This window comes from Homo sapiens, chromosome 14, assembly GCF_000001405.40.
Source record: "Homo sapiens chromosome 14, GRCh38.p14 Primary Assembly".
Lineage (NCBI taxonomy): Eukaryota > Metazoa > Chordata > Mammalia > Primates > Hominidae > Homo > Homo sapiens.
The window spans coordinates 82,345,994-82,364,944 of NC_000014.9; the positions used below are offsets into that span (position 1 = coordinate 82,345,994).

An 18,951-nucleotide genomic window follows, 5' to 3' on the forward strand; every position below is an offset into this window, starting at 1 on the left:
AATAATACTGGTCTGGGGACCATACTTTGGGAACCACTACCCTAGATAGTCACACACAAAGAAAAAAATTTTATAGGGCTGTGCTTTCCATATGTAAATAATAGGCATGTAGACAATTGTGAGCTTTTACTTTTATATTAGTTTTGTTTTCTTAAAGTGTTTGGCTATTCTTGTTAGCATTCTTTGTATAAACATTACTACATTTCTTGAGCACCGTGTTTTCTAACATTAAGCTAAGAGAATTTCTAGATGATTAAACACATCCACACACACACACACACACATACACACACACAAGCACAAACACATACATGTCAGTATAGAAGAGGAAATGCTATTTGCATTGGTACTAGTGATATAAATGATGAAATAATGGTATTGATAAAATTCCTGGATCACATAGGAACAACTACAGCAAAATGTCATGCTTGGTATACTGTCAGTAGCTTTCAAAATTTATTCTTTCTTCTATTCTTAATACCTGAACTGACCTCCCTGCTGACCATTGTGGCTGCCTACTTGACATCTCCACTGGGGTAAGCAGACATCTCAAACTTAACTGATGTGCGAGAGAATACTTGATATTTTCATTCCAAATTTATCCTGCTAATGTCCCCATCATCTTATTTCATGGTATCTCTAACCTCCTGGTTTTCATTTCTGGATAATAGATGTCATTCTTCTGTCTGGCGCAACTAATCCATTACCAAGTTCTAATGGTTGATTCTATGTATAAAATATACTTTAAAATTCATTCATTTCTCTTTGTCTCCTCCAGCATCAATGCTGAACAACAAACATCTTTCTCCATGATTACTACATAAACCATTTAAATATTCCAGCAATATTTTGTCAATCTATTTTCTCTTAAAATTTTTCTATTCTGCTTTTTGTTATTAACCTGATAACACAGAGTATACTTTTTATCATAAATGTTTTAAGCAAGTATATGTTATGAAAAGTGGAAGTTCTTTTCTTACTCCCCACTACTTACTGTCCCTTTTCTCCCAAGGAGACTTTTTTTTTTTCGAGACAGGGTCTCACTTTGTCAGCCAGGCTGGAGTGCAGTAGCAAGATCTTGGCTCACTGCAGCCTCCAATTCCCAAGCTCAGGTGATTCTCCGGGCTCAGAGAAGCTGGATACTCACTGTAGCTGGGACTACAGGCACAAGCCACCAATACCTGGCTAATTTTTTGTAGAAACGGGGTCTTGCCACGTTGCCCAGGCTAGTCTTGGCCTCCTGAGCTGAAAGCAATCCACCCATCTTGGCCTTCTAAAGTGTTGGGATTACAGGCGTGAGCCAACATGCCTAGCCCGAAGGATACTTCTGATAAAAATATAGTATATTTCTTTTATATTCATTTTCAGATGAAAATATATGTTTATATGTATGTGTGTGTTGTGTGTATGTGTATATACGTATATATGTATATGTATATACACATACACACACACATATGGGGGCTTACATCTTCTTTAAGTATGCTAATAAATCCATTGTTTTTATCTGGTTTTATCTACTTAGTCTTTTTAAAATTTAAAATAGTGTTCTGGATGGGGGAGGAGCCAAGATGGCCGAATAGGAACAGCTCCCGTCTACGGCTCCCAGCATGAACTACGCAGAAGACGGGTGATTTCTGCATTTCCATCTGAGGTACCGGGTTCATCTCACTAGGGAGTGCCAGACAGTGGGCGCAGGCCAGTGGGTGCGCGCACGGTGCGTGAGCTGAAGCAGGGCGAGGTATTGCCTCACCTGGGAAGCACAAGGGGTCAGGGAGTTCCTTTTCTGAGTCAAAGAAAGGGGTGACGGACGCACCTGGAAAATCGGGTCACTCCCACCCGAATATTGCACTTTTCAGACCGGCTTAAAAAACGGCGCACCACGAGACTATATCCCACACCTGGCTCGGAGGGTCCTATGCCCATGGAGTCTCGCTGATTGCTAGCACAGCAGTCTGAGATCAAACTGCAAGGCGGCAGCGAGGCTGGGGGAGGGGCGCCCGCCATTGCCCAGGCTTGCTTAGGTAAACAAAGCAGATCGAACTGGGTGGAGCCCACCACAGCTCAAGGAGGCCAGCCTGCCACTGTAGGCTCCACCTCTGGGGGCAGGGCACAGACAAACAAAAAGACAGCAGTAACCTCTGCAGACTTAAATGTCCCTGTCTGACAGCTTTGAAGGGAGCAGTGGTTCTCCCAGCACGCAGCTGGAGATCTGAGAACCGGCAGACTGCCTCCTCAAGTGAGTCCCTGACCCCTGACCCCCGAGCAGCCTAACTGGGAGGCACCCCCCAGCAGGGGCACACTGACACCTCACACGGCAGGGTATTCCAACAGACCTGCAGCTGAGGGTCCTGTCTGTTAGAAGGAAAACTAACAAACAGAAAGGACATCCACACCGAAAACCCATCTGTACATCACCATCATCAAAGACCAAAAGTAGATAAAACCACAAAGATGGGGAAAAAACAGCACAGAAAAACTGGAAACTCTAAAACACAGACCTCTCCTCCTCCAACGGAACGCAGTTCCTCACCAGCAACGGAACAAAGCTGGATGGAGAATGACTTTGACGAGCTGAGAGAAGAAGGCTTCAGACGATCAAATTACTCGGAGCTACGGGAGGACATTCAAACCAAAGGCAAAGAAGTTGAAAACTTTGAAAAAAATTTAGAAGAATGTATAACTAGAATAACCAATACAGAGAAGTGCTTAAAGAAGCTGATGGAGCTGAAAACCAAGGCTCGAGAACTACGTGAAGAATGCAGAAGCCTCAGGAGCCGATGCGATCAACTGGAAGAAAGGGTATCAGCAATGGAAGATGAAATGAATGAAATGAAGCGAGAAGGGAAGTTTAGAGAAAAAAGAATAAAAAGAAATGAGCAAAGCCTCCAAGAAATATGGGACTATGTGAAAAGACCAAATCTACGTCTGATTGGTGTACCTGAAAGTGATGTGGAGAATGGAACCAAGTTGGAAAACACTCTGCAGGATATTATCCAGGAGAACTTCCCCAATCTAGCAAGGCAGGCCAACGTTCAGATTCAGGAAATACAGAGAACACCACAAAGATACTCCTCGAGAAGAGCAACTCCAGACACATAATTGTCAGATTCACCAAAGTTGAAATGAAGGAAAAAATGTGAAGGGCAGCCAGAGAGAAAGGTCGGGTTACCCTCAAAGGGAAGCCCATCAGACTAACAGCGGATCTCTCGGCAGAAACCCTACAAGCCAGAAGAGAGTGGGGGCCAATATTTAACATTCTTAAAGAAAAGAATTTTCAACCCAGAATTTCATATCCAGCCAAACTAAGCTTCATAAGTGAAGGAGAAATAAAATACTTCACAGACAAGCAAATGCTGAGAGATTTTGTCACCACCAGGCCTGCCCTAAAAGAGCTCCTGAAGGAAGCGCTAAACATGGAAAGGAACAACCAGTACCAGCCGCTGCAAAATCATGCCAAAATGTAAAGACCATCGAGACTAGGAAGAAACTGCATCAACTAACGAGCAAAATCACCAGCTAACATCATAATGACAGGATCAAATTCACACATAACAATATTAATTTTAAATGTAAATGGACTAAATGCTCCAATTAAAAGACACAGACTGGCAAATTGGATAAAGAGTCAAGACCCATCAGTGTGCTGTATTCAGGAAACCCATCTCACATGCAGAGACACACATAGGCTCAAAATAAAAGGATGGAGGAAGATCTACCAAGCAAATGGAAAACAAAAAAAGGCAGGGGTTGCAATCCTAGTCTCTGATAAAACAGACTTTAAACCAACAAAGATCAAAAGAGACAAAGAAGGCCATTACATAATGGTAAAGGGATCAATTCAACAAGAAGAGCTAACTATCCTAAATATATATGCACCCAATACAGGAGCACCAAGATTCATAAAGCAAGTCCTGAGTGACCTACAAAGAGACTTAGACTCCCACACATTAATAATGGGAGACTTTAACACCCCACTGTCAACATTAGACAGATCAACGAGACAGAAAGTCAACAAGGATACCCAGGAATTGAACTCAGCTCTGCACCAAGCGGACCTAATAGACATCTTCAGAACTCTCCATCCCAAATCAACAGAATATACATTTTTTTCAGCACCACACCACACCTATTCCAAAATTGACCACATACTTGGAAGTAAAGCTCTCCTCAGCAAATGTAAAAGAACAGAAATTATAACAAACTATCTCTCAGACCACAGTGCAATCAAACTAGAACTCAGGATTAAGAATCTCACTCAAAGCCGCTCAACTACATGGAAACTGAACAACCTGCTCCTGAATGACTACTGGGTACATAACAAAATGAAGGCAGAAATAAAGATGTTCTTTGAAACCAACGAGAACAAAGACACAACATACCAGAATCTCTGGGACGCATTCAAAGCAGTGTGTAGAGGGAAATTTATAGCACTAAATGCCCACAAGAGAAAGCAGGAAAGATCCAAAATTGACACCCTAACATCACAATTAAAAGAACTAGAAAAGCAAGAGCAAACACATTCAAAAGCTAACAGAAGGCAAGAAATAACTAAAATCAGAGCAGAACTGAAGGAAATAGAGACACAAAAAACCCTTCAAAAAATCAATGAATCCAGGAGCTGGTTTTTTGAAAGGATCAACAAAATTGATAGACCGCTAGCAAGACTAATAAAGAAAAAAAGAGAGAAGAATCAAATAGACACAATAAAAAATGATAAAGGGGATATCACCACCGATCCCACAGAAATACAAACTACCATCAGAGAATACTACAAACACCTCTACGCCAATAAACTAGAAAATCTAGAAGAAACGGATAAATTCCTCGACACATACACTCTCCCAAGACTAAACCAGGAAGAAGTTGAATCTCTGAATAGACCAATAACAGGCTCTGAAATTGTGGCAATAATCAATAGTTTACCAACCAAAAAGAGTCCAGGACCAGATGGATTCACAGCCGAATTCTACCAGAGGTACAAGGAGGAACTGGTACCATTCCTTCTGAAACTATTCCAATCAATAGAAAAAGAGGGAATCCTCCCTAACTCATTTTATGAGGCCAGCATCATTCTGATACCAAAGCCGGGCAGAGACACAACCAAAAAAGAGAATTTTAGACCAATATCCTTGATGAACATTGATGCAAAAATCCTCAATAAAATACTGGCAAAACGAATCCAGCAGCACATCAAAAAGCTTATCCACCATGATCAAGTGGGCTTCATCCCTGGGATGCAAGGCTGGTTCAATATACGCAAATCAATAAATGTAATCCAGCATATAAACAGAGCCAAAGACAAAAACCACATGATTATCTCAATAGATGCAGAAAAAGCCTTTGACAAAATTCAACAACCCTTCATGCTAAAAACTCTCAATAAATCAGGTATTGATGGGACGTATTTCAAAATAATAAGAGCTATCTATGACAAACCCACAGCCAATATCATACTGAATGGGCAAAAACTGGAAGCATTCCCTTTGAAAAGTGGCACAAGACAGGGATGCCCTCTCTCACCACTCCTATTCAACATAGTGTTGGAAGTTCCGGCCAGGGCAATTAGGCAGGAGAAGGAAATAAAGGGTATTCAATTAGGAAAAGAGGAAGTCAAATTGTCCCTGTTTGCAGACGACATGATTGTATATCTAGAAAACCCCATTGTCTCAGCCCAAAATCTCCTTAAGGGGATAAGCAACTTCAGCAAAGTCTCAGGATACAAAATCAATGTGCAAAAATCACAAGCATTCTTATACACCAACAACAGACAAACAGAGAGCCAAATCATGGGTGAACTCCCATTCACAATTGCTTCAAAGAGAATAAAATACCTAGGAATCCAACTTACAAGGGATGTGAAGGACCTCTTCAAGGAGAACTACAAACCACTACTCAAGGAAATAAAAGAGGATACAAACAAATGGAAGAACATTCCATGCTCATGGGTAGGAAGAATCAATATAGTGAAAATGGCCATACTGCCCAAGGTAATTTACAGATTCAATGCCATCCCCATCAAGCTACCAATGACTTTCTTCACAGAATTGGAAAAAACTACTTTAAAGTTCATATGGAACCAAAAAAGAGCCCGCATCGCCAAGTCAATCCTAAGCCAAAAGAACAAAGCTGGAAGCATCACACTACCTGACTTCAAACTATACTACAAGGCTACAGTAACCAAAACAGCATGGTACTGGTACCAAAACAGAGCTATAGATCAATGGAACAGAACAGAGCCCTCAGAAATAATGCCACGTACCTACAACTATCTGATCTTTGACAAACCTGAGAAAAACAAGCAATGGGGAAAGGATTCCCTATTTAATAAATGGTGCTGGGAAAACTGGCTAGCCATATGTAGAAAGCTGAAACTGGATCCCTTCCTTACACCTTATACAAAAATCAATTCAAGATGGATTAAAGACTTAAACGTTAGACCTAAAACCATAAAAACCCTAGAAGAAAACCTAGGCATTACCATTCAGGACATAGGCATGGGCAAGGACTTCATGTCCAAAACACCAAAAGCAATGGCAACAAAAGACAAAATTGACAAATGGGATCTAATTAAACTAAAGAGCTTCTGCACAGCAAAAGAAACTACCATCAGAGTGAACAGGCAACCTACAAAATGGGAGAAAATTTTCGCAACCTACTCATCTGACAAAGGGCTAATATCCAGAATCTACAATGAACTCAAACAAATTTACAAGAAAAAAACAAACAACCCCATCAAAAAGTGGGCGAAGGACATGAACAGACACTTCTCAAAAGAAGACATTTATGCAGCCCAAAAAACACATGAAAAAATGCTCATCATCACTGGCCATCAGAGAAATGCAAATCAAAACCACTATGAGATACCATCTCACACCAGTTAGAATGGCAATCATTAAAAAGTCAGGAAACAACAGGTGCTGGAGAGGATGTGGAGAAATAGGAAGACTTTTACACTGTTGGTGGGACTGTAAACTAGTTCAACCATTGTGGAAGTCAGTGTGGCGATTCCTCAGGGATCTAGAACTAGAAATACCATTTGACCCAGCCATCCCATTACTGGGTATATACCCAAAGGACTATAAATCATGCTGCTATAAAGAGACATGCACACGTATGTTTATTGCAGCACTATTCACAATAGCAAAGACTTGGAACCAACCCAAATGTCCAACAATGATAGACTGGATTAAGAAAATGTGGCACATATACACCATGGAATACTATGCAGCCATAAAAAATGATGAGTTCATGTCCTTTGTAGGGACATGGATGAAATTGGAAATCATCATTCTCAGTAAACTATCACAAGAACAAAAAACCAAACACCGCATATTCTCACTCATAGGTGGGAATTGAACAATGAGATCACATGGACACAGGAAGGGGAATATCACACTCTGGGGACTGTGGTGGGGTGGGGGGAAGGGGGAAGGATAGCATTGGGAGATATACCTAATGCTAGATGACGAGTTAGTGGGTGCAGCGCACCAGCATGGCACATGTATACATATGTAACTAACCTGCACAATGTGCACATGTACCCTAAAACTTAAAGTATAATAAAAAAAAGAAGTGTTCTGTAATACAGATGTGCCCTTCTTTATTTGACTCTATTGATAGATATTTAGATTTTATTTTCTATTTTTCTCTCTTTCACAAGCACTGCCATGATCATATTTTTACATAGATCTCTGGGAACAAGGGAAGCATTTTTTATTTTTTTAAATTTAGAATAAACATAAAAAATTGTATCATCACACAAAAAGGCTGTTGCATTTGAGAATAAAATCCCAGGTACTTCACAGGTATGACAAAGCCCAACGTTCTAGTGCCTGCCTCGCTTCTGATCATGAGACAACCTTCCTCTGCCTGTGTCATCCACATTTAATTCCTCCAATATTCCATATTTTTTTTATATGTCATCCTCATCCCCTGGAATGCTCTTTTCCAACTTTTTTTCTGGTAACTCTGATTTTACCATCAAGTTTCATTTACATGCTCAATCCTTGGAAATGTGAGTTGTATTCCAATGACTTTATGTCCCCCAATTAATCAGGGGGAAATTTGTTATAATGTCTTTGTCTTTTATAATATTTCCCTTCCTTAAAGTTCTCATCAAAATTTGCTTCTTTGTTTAATGTCTGCCCCTCCACCTTACCCCTTAATATATAAAATTCCATGAGGGCTGTGAAATGTCATACACAGGGTAGTAACTCAATGAATATTTTCTTGAATGTTAGCTGCTGAACTTGCAATGACCCAGAGGTCCTTTAGTGCTCAATCCCCAAACAGACAATTAGTTTTTTTATGATGCTTCCTGTGTACAGTTGTTTGTGGGTCAGATTGCTTTGCCTTGGGCTATTTTGTTTTGAGGAAGAGCTTGCATAAACAGAACTGAACTGTTGACATTTCAAAATTCATGGCACACAGTCATCAGCAGTCTATAAACATCCCCTCTTTTTAATTTTACTATATTTTACTTTTATTTACCATCCTCAAGCTCATCCTCCAATAGTTATCCACACCTATGTTTTGATGTATGTTTTTTCTCTCCACAATCCATAGTTTATTTATATACTCATGTATATCTGATAAATATATGGTACCATTTTATGTAGTTTGAAAGATTGACACAAATGAAATTTAGCTGGAAATCTTGTACAATGTCTGTTTAATCATTTATTATTCTTTCACATCCATACATTTAGCTATGTGTGGCTGGGTGCAGTGACTCTTGCCTGTAGTCCTAGCACTTTGGGAAGTCAAGGCGGGTGGATCACTTGATATCTGGAGTTTGAGACCTGCCTGGCCAACATGGTGAAACTCTGTCTCTACTAAAATACAAAAATTAGCCCGGCGTGATGGTGGGTGCCTGTAATCTCAGCTACTTTGGAGGCTGAAGCCAGAGAATCACTTGAACCCAGGAGAAAGAGGTTGCAGTGAGCTGAATCATGCCACTGCACTCCAGAAAATTAAAAAATAGTAAAATAAATAAACTTTAGCTATGTGTAAAACTAAGTCATCTTTCTGATCATACTACACAGTATTTTAAAATGTCTATGTGGCCCATTTTACTTATCTATCCTCCACTGATGAACACTTAAGTTTACCTCTAAATTTTTGTTATCAAAAATGACACACTGCTAGACATTTTTATATATGTATCCTTCCACATCATGTGGTGCTTTTTCTGGGGTGTATAAGTCAGAATGGAATTGATGGGTCATAGATATGCTTTTATCTATGTTAGTGTTCCGCAAACTGTCTCTTCTTCCTAGGCTCTCAACTTGACTGTACTTCCCAACCCCCTTTGCAGTTGGGAATGGCCATGTGACTTAGTACAAGCCAATGAGAGATGGATGAGAGTAACATGAGCCACTTCCAGGCCTGGTCTATAAAGCCCTTCTATGTGCCTTTCTTCCTAATCTTTCCTGGCTGAAATGGTTATGAGCTCAGGGAAGCCCTTAAGAGCCATGTAATGAAGAGGAAAGAGCAACACACTGGAAGGAACCTGGGTTCCTGAAACACAGGTCACAGAAAAAGCCAACAGACAGGAAGACTGGCAGTGGACTGCTATATGAGAGTTTTATTCTATTTAAATAACTGAAATTTTGACATGTATTTTTTTTTACTTCAGTGTCTAACATTACTCCAACGAATATTGTCCTTATATCCAGTTTGCCCTAAATAAATCCAGATTGCTCTCAAAAATGGCTGAACAAAATTAAATTTTCAGTTACAAGAAGATTCTCATTTTCTCTCATTCTACCCAATGCTTGATATTATCTGACCTTGTAATTTCTCCATCAGGTAGATTCAGAAGGAAACCTCAGTTTGATATTTTTAAAATTTGCATATTCCTAATTGCTGGTGAGTTTATCTCCCTCTGTGCATATTTATTGATTGTTAGGGTTTCTATGAATTATGGTTCATATCATATTCTCACTAATCCATTTGCTTTTTCTCATTTTCTATAAATTCCAGACATTGAAGCTTAGTTACTTTTGAATGCTGCAAATATCTTCTCCAACCTAATATCTGTTTGATAACTTTGTATTTTCTTTTTAAATTGGACCAATATCTTACATTTTCATGAAGCTTAATCTATAAGTTGTTTCTTTAATGCCTTTTGATTTATGGGTCTGTTTTAAGAAATCCTTTTAGTCCTAAAGACACACCTATAGTCTCCTATATTTTCTTCTGGTAGATTTAAATTTTTTTTTCATTTTTACATTTCTGGCCTATTTAGTCCTAATTTTTAAATATGATATGTGGTAGAAATCTAATTTCTTATTCTTCTATATATTGAGCTAATTTTCTCAATACTATTTACTAAATACAGTTGCTCCTTGACCTGTGAAGGGGTTACACCCTGATAAACTCAATGTTAAGTTGAAAACATGATGTCAAAAATTCAATTAGTGCACCTAACCTATGATGTGTCATAGCTTAGCCTAGATCACCTTAAATGTGCTCAGAACGAGTACATTACCATAAAGTTGAGCAAAGTCATTTGACACAAAGCCTGTGTTATAATAAAGTGGTGAATAGCTTATGTAATTTATTGTACTGAAAGTGAAAAATAGAATGGTTGTTTGGGTATTCAAAGTACAATTTTTACTGAATGCATTACTAAATACAGTTGCTCCTTGACTTGTGTGGGGGTTATACTCTGATAAACTCAATGTAAGTTGAAAATATGATGTCAAAATTTCATTTAGTGCATCTAACCTATGAGATATCATAGGTTAGTCTAGATCACCTTAAATGTGCTCAGAACAAGTACTTTACCTTACAGTTGAGCAAAGTCATTTGACACAAATCCTTTGTTATAATAGAGTGGTGAATAGCTTATGTAATTTATTGTACTGAAAGTGAAAAATAGAATGGTTGTATGGGTATTTGAGGTACAATTTTTATTGAATGCATACCACTTTTGCACCATTGAAAAGTTGAAAAGCAGTAAACTTAGACCACTGAAAGTTGAAAACTATTTGTAGTTCATCCTCTAGAAATTGATATACACTAAATTGATATATAAGTGCTTTGGTTTCTATACACTCTATTATGTTTATTTGTTCTGTTTATCTAATATTATTTTAGAACTGTGCTGTTTCAATTCCATAGATTTGTAACATGACTGAATGTGATGCAAAAGTGTTCCCATTTTGCTCTTTGAAAAATTATATTTCCACTCTATTAAACTTTGTTCTTCCATAGAAAGCTTAGGATCATTTTATTTTTCCCCCAGCTCATAAATATAATTTTAATTGGAATTTAATTTTATTTTATTAAGTAATTTGAAGATAATTGATATCTTTACAATCCCGCTATGTATACGGCTGACCATTTACTGAGATCTATGCTCTTTATTAGTCTGAAATTTTTCTCTACACAGGTCTCAAACAATCTTTATGTGATTAATTACTAAAATCTCTAGATACATAGGATGGTAGAGATAGAGACAATAAATAGAGACATTGTAAATAGTATTTACTTTATTGTATTGCATTTAAATTGGCAATTACTGTGGTGTAGAAGCTTATTAAGTTTATTGATATATTATCCTCTAGTCATGCTAAATTCTTTTATTAGGTTTAGTGTTTTGTCTCATGGTATTCTTATATTTGAAAGGACAAATATTTACGCCTCTTTTTGTTTCCTCTCCTTATGTCACTCGGGCATAACTCTAAACACTATGGTGAGCAATAACAAGAACAGAAAGTACCCCCCCCCCCTTTTTTTTTAAACCACCTTGAACGGGATGCTTCTAAAGCTTCTCTCTTTAGAAATAATGCCTTCTGTAGATGAAGGTAGATTGACTTTATAAAGATACGAGAATTTCTTTGTAATACCTGGGTGTTTATGTTTATCAAGTAAATATTTTGAGATAAGAGATTTAGCAATCTTCTTGGAATCCTGAGGGATGAGGAAAAAGTACAAGTCATAGATCCCAATAAGATATAGTTTTTACCCACAAAATGTTTTCAATATATTCAATGAACAATTCATATGTAGAACGAAGTATTCCCCCATGAATGAATAGCATAGCAGAGTAGATTATACTGTGTGCACAAAAGTACTATCTTTGTAGTTTACATATATGCTTGTACACACTATCAGTTAATTTTAAAACTTCATCTTTTGAATATGGTAAATTTCAAGATTCTTATGCAATCAGTGGGAGGCTTGTGATCTCAATCTTCTATATAAGTCTCTGTCTTTTTATTTTGTCTCTTACATCCTAATTTTTATCATATCATTGCCTATATTTAGAATAACCTTACAATCAGTCCTCACCTTTTGAAATCTCACCTATCACTGAAGGTGGAGTTTAAATGTGCTCTCCTTCCAGAAAGAAGTCTTCTTCATGAATATGTACAGAAACAATTACAAATCACTGATTTCAGATTAGTTCTTGTTTCTATAACCCTATGAGCTCTATACCTTGCATTAGCTTTAACTTTTAACAAGTATGTACTGAGTTATCACATGTATTAGGTACTAGAAATAGAAAGATGAAAACAAAATTGTTGTGCCTGCCCCTAAGTAAGTCAGTCTACATAGGGAACTATATATACTTGCAAATAAAATGTAATGTGATAAGCTCAGTAATTTCAGGAACAGATGAAACAGAAAAGAAGGAATGAGCAGTTATATGTGGAGTATAGAAAAACCTTCACAGAGAAAATAATAGAAGCTGGAATACAAGGGGGAAGGCATTTCAGACAGAAGCCTCTGTATCTGACAGAGGATTTTGAGGCATGAAATAATATGTTTTTGCAAAGCAATGAATAACTTGAATCGTTGGTTGAATATACAGCACACATGAGTGTGGGGAATGGGCAGAGGGAATGATGGGAGGTGAGACTGAACAGGTATGCAACACCCAGTTTGTAATGAATTTTACACGGTATGCTAAATATCTGTGAATTCATTTTTAAGTAGTAAAGTCCTATTGAGAGGGTTTATGCATGAAGAAACACAATCAGATTTATACTTGGACAAGATTAGTCTGTCACCACTGTGAATGATTTATGAAAGAGTGGAAGAGGGAGGAGATACCAGAGGCAGCTACTACCGATAAACCAGGTGTGATGATAAAGTTGTGAGTCTGTAGCATCTGAGAGGGAAAGGAGGGCACACTTAGATGATATTCAGAAGGAAAACCCAGGAAGACTTTCTGAGTTATTAACAGAGATGTATAAGGAAATGGGAGTTTTCTTTTTTAGGTACTATTCAGAGTGAGTGTTACAGAAAGGAGAATCAGTTTTATTGGATTTATTCAAGTTTGGTATGTAGAAATAGAAAATGAGAGAGGCGGATTAAATGTATGAGACTGCAGCTCAGAAGAGTACCAAAATAAGAGTTGAAGGTCTTAAAAAAAAAACCTCACGTCATCATCCATATGGTAGCTGGAATCATGGGGTTGCTTAAGACTGCTCAGAATAAGAATATGCAGTGAGAAGGTCTCTTAAAGCCCTAAGTGCTACCAAATTTAGTGTGGGAACTGAAGAAGTGAATCCATGAATGTAGCCTGAAAAGAATAGTCAAAGATATAGATGAAAAACAAAGTGTTGACATAAAAAACACGATTCTGGGAATATCTTAGCACTCTGTCCCTAGAAAATTCTGTCAGTATTCTCATTGGGTTTAACATCCACTTAGGCGATTCTTTCATTTCCTGGCTTCTCAGTTCCTTGAGGGCCATTACATATGATATTTTTTAAATTTGGCTTACAGTCAGAGGCTTATCCAATTAATTTACTATGTTAAACCAGTATTTAACAAATAAAAGAAGAAAGAATACAGCAGGAATGGATTTTAAAAACCATCAGGGTGTATTGTGTGAAATGGGTATTATGGCATTCCTGGGAATGTGAAGCTCTCTTGTCCATTCATATAGCAAGCACCTATAATCCCACACTTTTTGAATTCCTGAAGCACTTTCTTCTTTGCATCTTCCATAGGACATTTATAAATTCTGTAGTCCTTCTAGTAGAATAGAAAATCCTTGGGAAAAAGGAATCTTTTATGTGTGATTCTTCATTATATCCCCAGAATCCGGAACAGTTCCTGGTAATAATTAGACAAAAAGAAAAAAAAAAGTTGAATAAGTAAAATAAATGAACACATTCTTCCCTGTATCATATAATTTTATTATTAGTAGAGTGCACTTATTGCTGTGGATAGATCTTAGAATTATGATTAATTAAAATAAATTTAGCTATTATTTATGTGTTCAATAGTTTTCCTACCAAAAATATCAACTATCTTGAGAAAAGTGGGAGCATCAAGCTTAATTTTTTTTACAGCCACTAAAATATTTATTGATACTTATAGCCACTGTATAATTCATCACAGATGAGATGGAATCATGCTTGTTAAAAATAAGAATTAAAACATTTTTTCTTAATCAGAATATACTTTGTAACATGAAATTACTGAGGCTTTTCATTTGTGTTCTAATAATGTTACTATTTCTGCATTTCTCTTTCTTTATAGAATACTTTTTCCTAACTTATTTTTGCTACCAACTTTTAAAATTTGAGAGCAGATGGCTTTGCTACAACAGCAATAACTTATAAAAAATGGTGTATGCATGACCATATGAACACAGTTTTGATTATATAATCAAAGGAAACATATAAACTGAAGTGGCACATATATAACTGTATGTCTAATTATTTTACTGCATTGAAATTATTCATAAATAAAAGTAGTACACACAAGAACATAATATTGCATTTATACAACCAAACCAATTATGAAATGGTTTATTTTTCTTTTGTTACTTCCCCAATATCCGTAATTACCATCAGTTTCAAAAACATTGCTTTACCATATGGGATATAAGCACAAATGCACACAAATAAACACAGTCACACACTTAGTGATACTCGAGAACTAGCAATAAGTCTGAGCAGAAATCCACTAAGAAGATTGTAAGCTTGGTTTCTGATTCCAAGGCATCGAGGTATCATGGGACCAAAAGAAGTATGAAACTATAAGCCCCCTTAACCCTTGTGTTTCACTCCATTCCACCTAAAATAATTTTGATTCAGTCTTGTTCACAATCAAAAGAAGATCTATTGGCCTCAGTAGTGTCTTATGAGAACTCCAGAGAGACAACAACTATGTTGTGACTATATGCTCTTTGAAAATTCTGTGCTTGCTACTACCCTTCTCAGAAAAAGTAGGAAAAGAAAAAAAAAGTTGCTGAATATCTACTTTTAAATCTATGCAAACTTTTATTTATTTATTTATTTTTGAGATGGAGTCTTGCTCCATCGCCCAGGCTGGAGTGCAGTGGCACGATCTTGGCTCACCGCAAGCTCCGCCTCCCGGGTTCAAGGGTTCTCCTGCCTTAGCCTCCCAAGTAGCTGGGACTACAGGCACCCGCCACCACTCCCGGCTAATTTTTTGTATTTTTAGTAGAGACGGGGTTTCACCGTGTTAGCCAGCATGGTCTCAATCTCCTGACCTCGTGATCCGCCCGCCTCGGCCTCCCAAAGTGCTGGGATTACAGGCGTGAGGCATTGCGCTTGGACCTATGCAAACTTTTTAAACATTAAATTAAGATTCTTTGTTCAGTGTTAACTGAACATAAAAGAATACATTTCCTGAAATGTTAAACTGTGAAAATATTTTGATTTAATATCCCAGAAATGCCACCTTTAGTTCTGTAGCATGTCGTGATCACAAGTTATAAAGCTTGTATATTACAGGAAATTGAGTTTTCAGATAATCTACATAAAGTGTTTTTCTAAATAGGAAATTCAGATTATTCATGTAGCTTGTAAATAAAATCATGATCCTAAAGGAACCCACCACTATGTAAATTAATGGATGTCCCAGTGTCAACTCCCTAGTATGGTGTGCAGGACAACACAGTGTTTACCCATAATGAGGATTCTCTTGTTGGACGGAAAGTACCAAATACTTTGAATATGTTAGAAACACTCTTTCAAGTACTTGGCAAAGAGAAAGCTGAATGCAGGCATAAGGTAGAACAGATCATTTCACAGAAAAAGTTAAATTACAAACTATACCTAAGTCTTTATTTAGCTTATTAATTTTAACCCCACAGTTATCTCTTTTTATTTCTTTTTTAAATTAATATCTGGAATAAAAAGAAAAAGCATCCAGTCTATTTTAATCTTAAACATTTCCATTTTCTGCTCATGTATTTAATTTTCTTATTTTGATTTTTCTCTTTTCTTTTACTTTATTTTTTCCCTTTTGTTTTCCACATCTAAAGAATGTAGTGTACAGGTGAGATGTATTCTTGCTGTAAGAATAAGAAACAGATTATAATTATGCCTGTTTTTAACTAGAGTCCAAAATCATGTTCTACAATCTACATTTTTCTCTTAGAGGAGGCTGGGTTTGAATTGGATTTTCTGTCTTTATATTTTTACATTGTGTTATAGTGAGAATTAAGAGAAGTGCTATCTATTGAACAGACAGAGGTCCATAGATTTGGGTATATCTTGTATCATTATGATATTCCAAGGTCTGGTTCTAAGCTTCTCAGTCTCTGGAACCCTGCTGTATCAGAGCACTTCAAGTTTATTAATAGCTCTGGAACTGATTACTCAACTCACAAAAGTCTGATGTACAAATTGCCAACTTGTAAGTTAGAACTAAAACTGTGAAAGGGAGCCAAATATTCTCTCCCTAAAAGGAAATGGTCATTGGCTGCCAAAATTTCATCAGAAATGTACTGAGGAGCATGGCATTGCAGCAAGAGGAGACAGCTGGATTATATGAGAAGCTGCTCAGTTTGACAACCTGATGTATCCTTCTCCTGGGTAAGAGTATACATGCCAAGTTAATACAAATATTGCTGCCAAAAGGTCAGATACCCTCTTCTAATCCATGTAAAAGGCACATCAATAACGTATCACTTGTAGATTTTCACCTGTCTAGACTTTAGAGAAACTATATGCATTTTGTTAACAATCTTTCTTTAACCTGAGAACATAAGAGGTTTATATTTTGATGTAATTGCAATCATATTCCCATCTAGGTTCCTGAGTCTGTATTTTTATGAGACCAGGTGGACTTTGGCATTCCCAAACCTTCTTTACTTCTCCCCCACTATCGTTTACAACGGCTTCTATGGTTTAACCATATCCATCTGTGTGAATTTTACTTCTACTGCTGCTAATGGTACCACTACTTCTATTGCGATTCTTATTACCACAATTTCTAACGGCGAAGACATACCGAGCATAAACCAATATCAGCTCTCATTTAATCTCCAAAACACAACTAGGGGGTAGGTATAATAATTATTATAGTATCATTTTACAAGTAAGGAAACTAAGGTTTAGAGAAGTCCAAACAGAAAGTGGTAAAGCTGAGATTTGAACTCAGATACATGTCTTCGATCTGGATTCTTATTCAGAGTAATTTTGCTGTTAATTTAGGGTGGCACTCTTTAACATCCAGAGACTTGTAAATGTCATTAAGCCATTGCTGAGATCTTTTTTTTCTTTTTAAAGAAAACTAGAAAAATTGAGTGGAATCCAAAAGTTGCTTTGGAACATAGATTTTTCTAGATAAAATATTATGAAGTAGGGAGCAACAGTAATTTATGTAGCTTTAAATCCACGAGGGTACAGTGACCCTGGTGAAATTGCTTGCCATGTTAGACTTGTCATACATATTCTGTGAGAATATTTATAGAGTATGGTAAGAGTCTGTGGAGCTTAGCAAAGCATAAAGCAGCAAAGACAAGGTGTTTGCCCTGAAGAGTTGGTGATTCAATTTAGATGTAGACAGAATACTAGATACCTATAAAATACAAATAGAGAGTTGGTTGATTGACTTATAACCTCAGTCATGGTACCATAAATCAGATGGTTACACTCTAAACATCTAATGAGCTGCTGGGTAGATCAGCAAGACCATGTCTGGCTACTATGACAGCTGTGGGTGGGTTTATTTTGAAATAACATGGGAAGTGGCCAAAAATTCAGGGAAAAATATAATATACAACGGTCAACATGGCATGCCATACAATACAACATTCTGAAAAGGACAACTATACAAAGTCATATTCAAAGGAGACTTTTTTATTGTTATTCAGTGGGGCAACCTCATTTTTCTACTCCAGAAGGGAGTAGAAAAGAAATTATAATGCAGATTTTTAAAATCAGAATTTATCTGAATTTTATCAGTTAACTTATCTTTTACTTAAATAACTATCCCTTGATATTCACCACACCCTTACCCCATGAATACCAAAATCAACAGATGCTCAAGTCCATTTTATATAAAATGATGTAATATCTGCATAGAACCTATGCACATGCTCCAGTTTACTTTAAATCATCTCTAGATTCCTTATAATACCAAAAACAATGGAAATATTATGCACAGTTTTGTTATATGGTTTTGTTTTTATTTGTCTTGTTTTTTATTGTTGTATTATTAATTTTAAAAAATATTTTTGATCTATGATATGTTGAATGCCCATAAGTGGAGCCCATGAATATTGAGGAACAGCTGCATGCTAATGGTATAATTATTCAAAAAAGCCAAATAAAGTAGAAGAATATGGGCATCAGTCACAAAATTTCAGTGTCTGTGCAGTAGATAGAGCTGTGGAATGAAGGATCGTGATACTGGGTGCTCCTTGAGGCTACTTTGTGTTCACATTGTTCACTACCAACCGCCAATACCCCTGGCACACATACAGGCATACACATGTAGATTTAAACATAAAAAACCCTGCCTGCCCACTTTTTTTTTTTTTTTTTTTGGTTAAGATTTGGGGAAAAAAATGACCATATGTCTTATTTCCTTCTACGCTTCCTCTTTTGGGGCAACATGCCTGGTAAGCCCAAAAGCATTTCTGTCCTTTTTGTTCCTTCATGTAGTAAGCTTGTAAGTCAGCCTTCACTCTAGTGAAAAGTGGGTATGGGGCAGCCAATAATT

General features: G+C 37.0%; 2 annotated features.

Moving 5' to 3' along the window:
* Window positions 1,297–1,869: an enhancer, noted in NCBI's record as "NANOG-H3K27ac-H3K4me1 hESC enhancer chr14:82813634-82814206 (GRCh37/hg19 assembly coordinates)". NCBI's record gives its function as "activates a minimal SCP1, AML or CMV promoter by ChIP-STARR-seq in primed H9 embryonic stem cells {active_cell/tissue: H9 hESC(primed)}" and the evidence as "EXISTENCE:reporter gene assay evidence [ECO:0000049][PMID:30033119]".
* Window positions 1,870–2,440: an enhancer, noted in NCBI's record as "NANOG-H3K27ac-H3K4me1 hESC enhancer chr14:82814207-82814777 (GRCh37/hg19 assembly coordinates)". NCBI's record gives its function as "activates a minimal SCP1, AML or CMV promoter by ChIP-STARR-seq in naive and primed H9 embryonic stem cells {active_cell/tissue: H9 hESC(naive and primed)}" and the evidence as "EXISTENCE:reporter gene assay evidence [ECO:0000049][PMID:30033119]".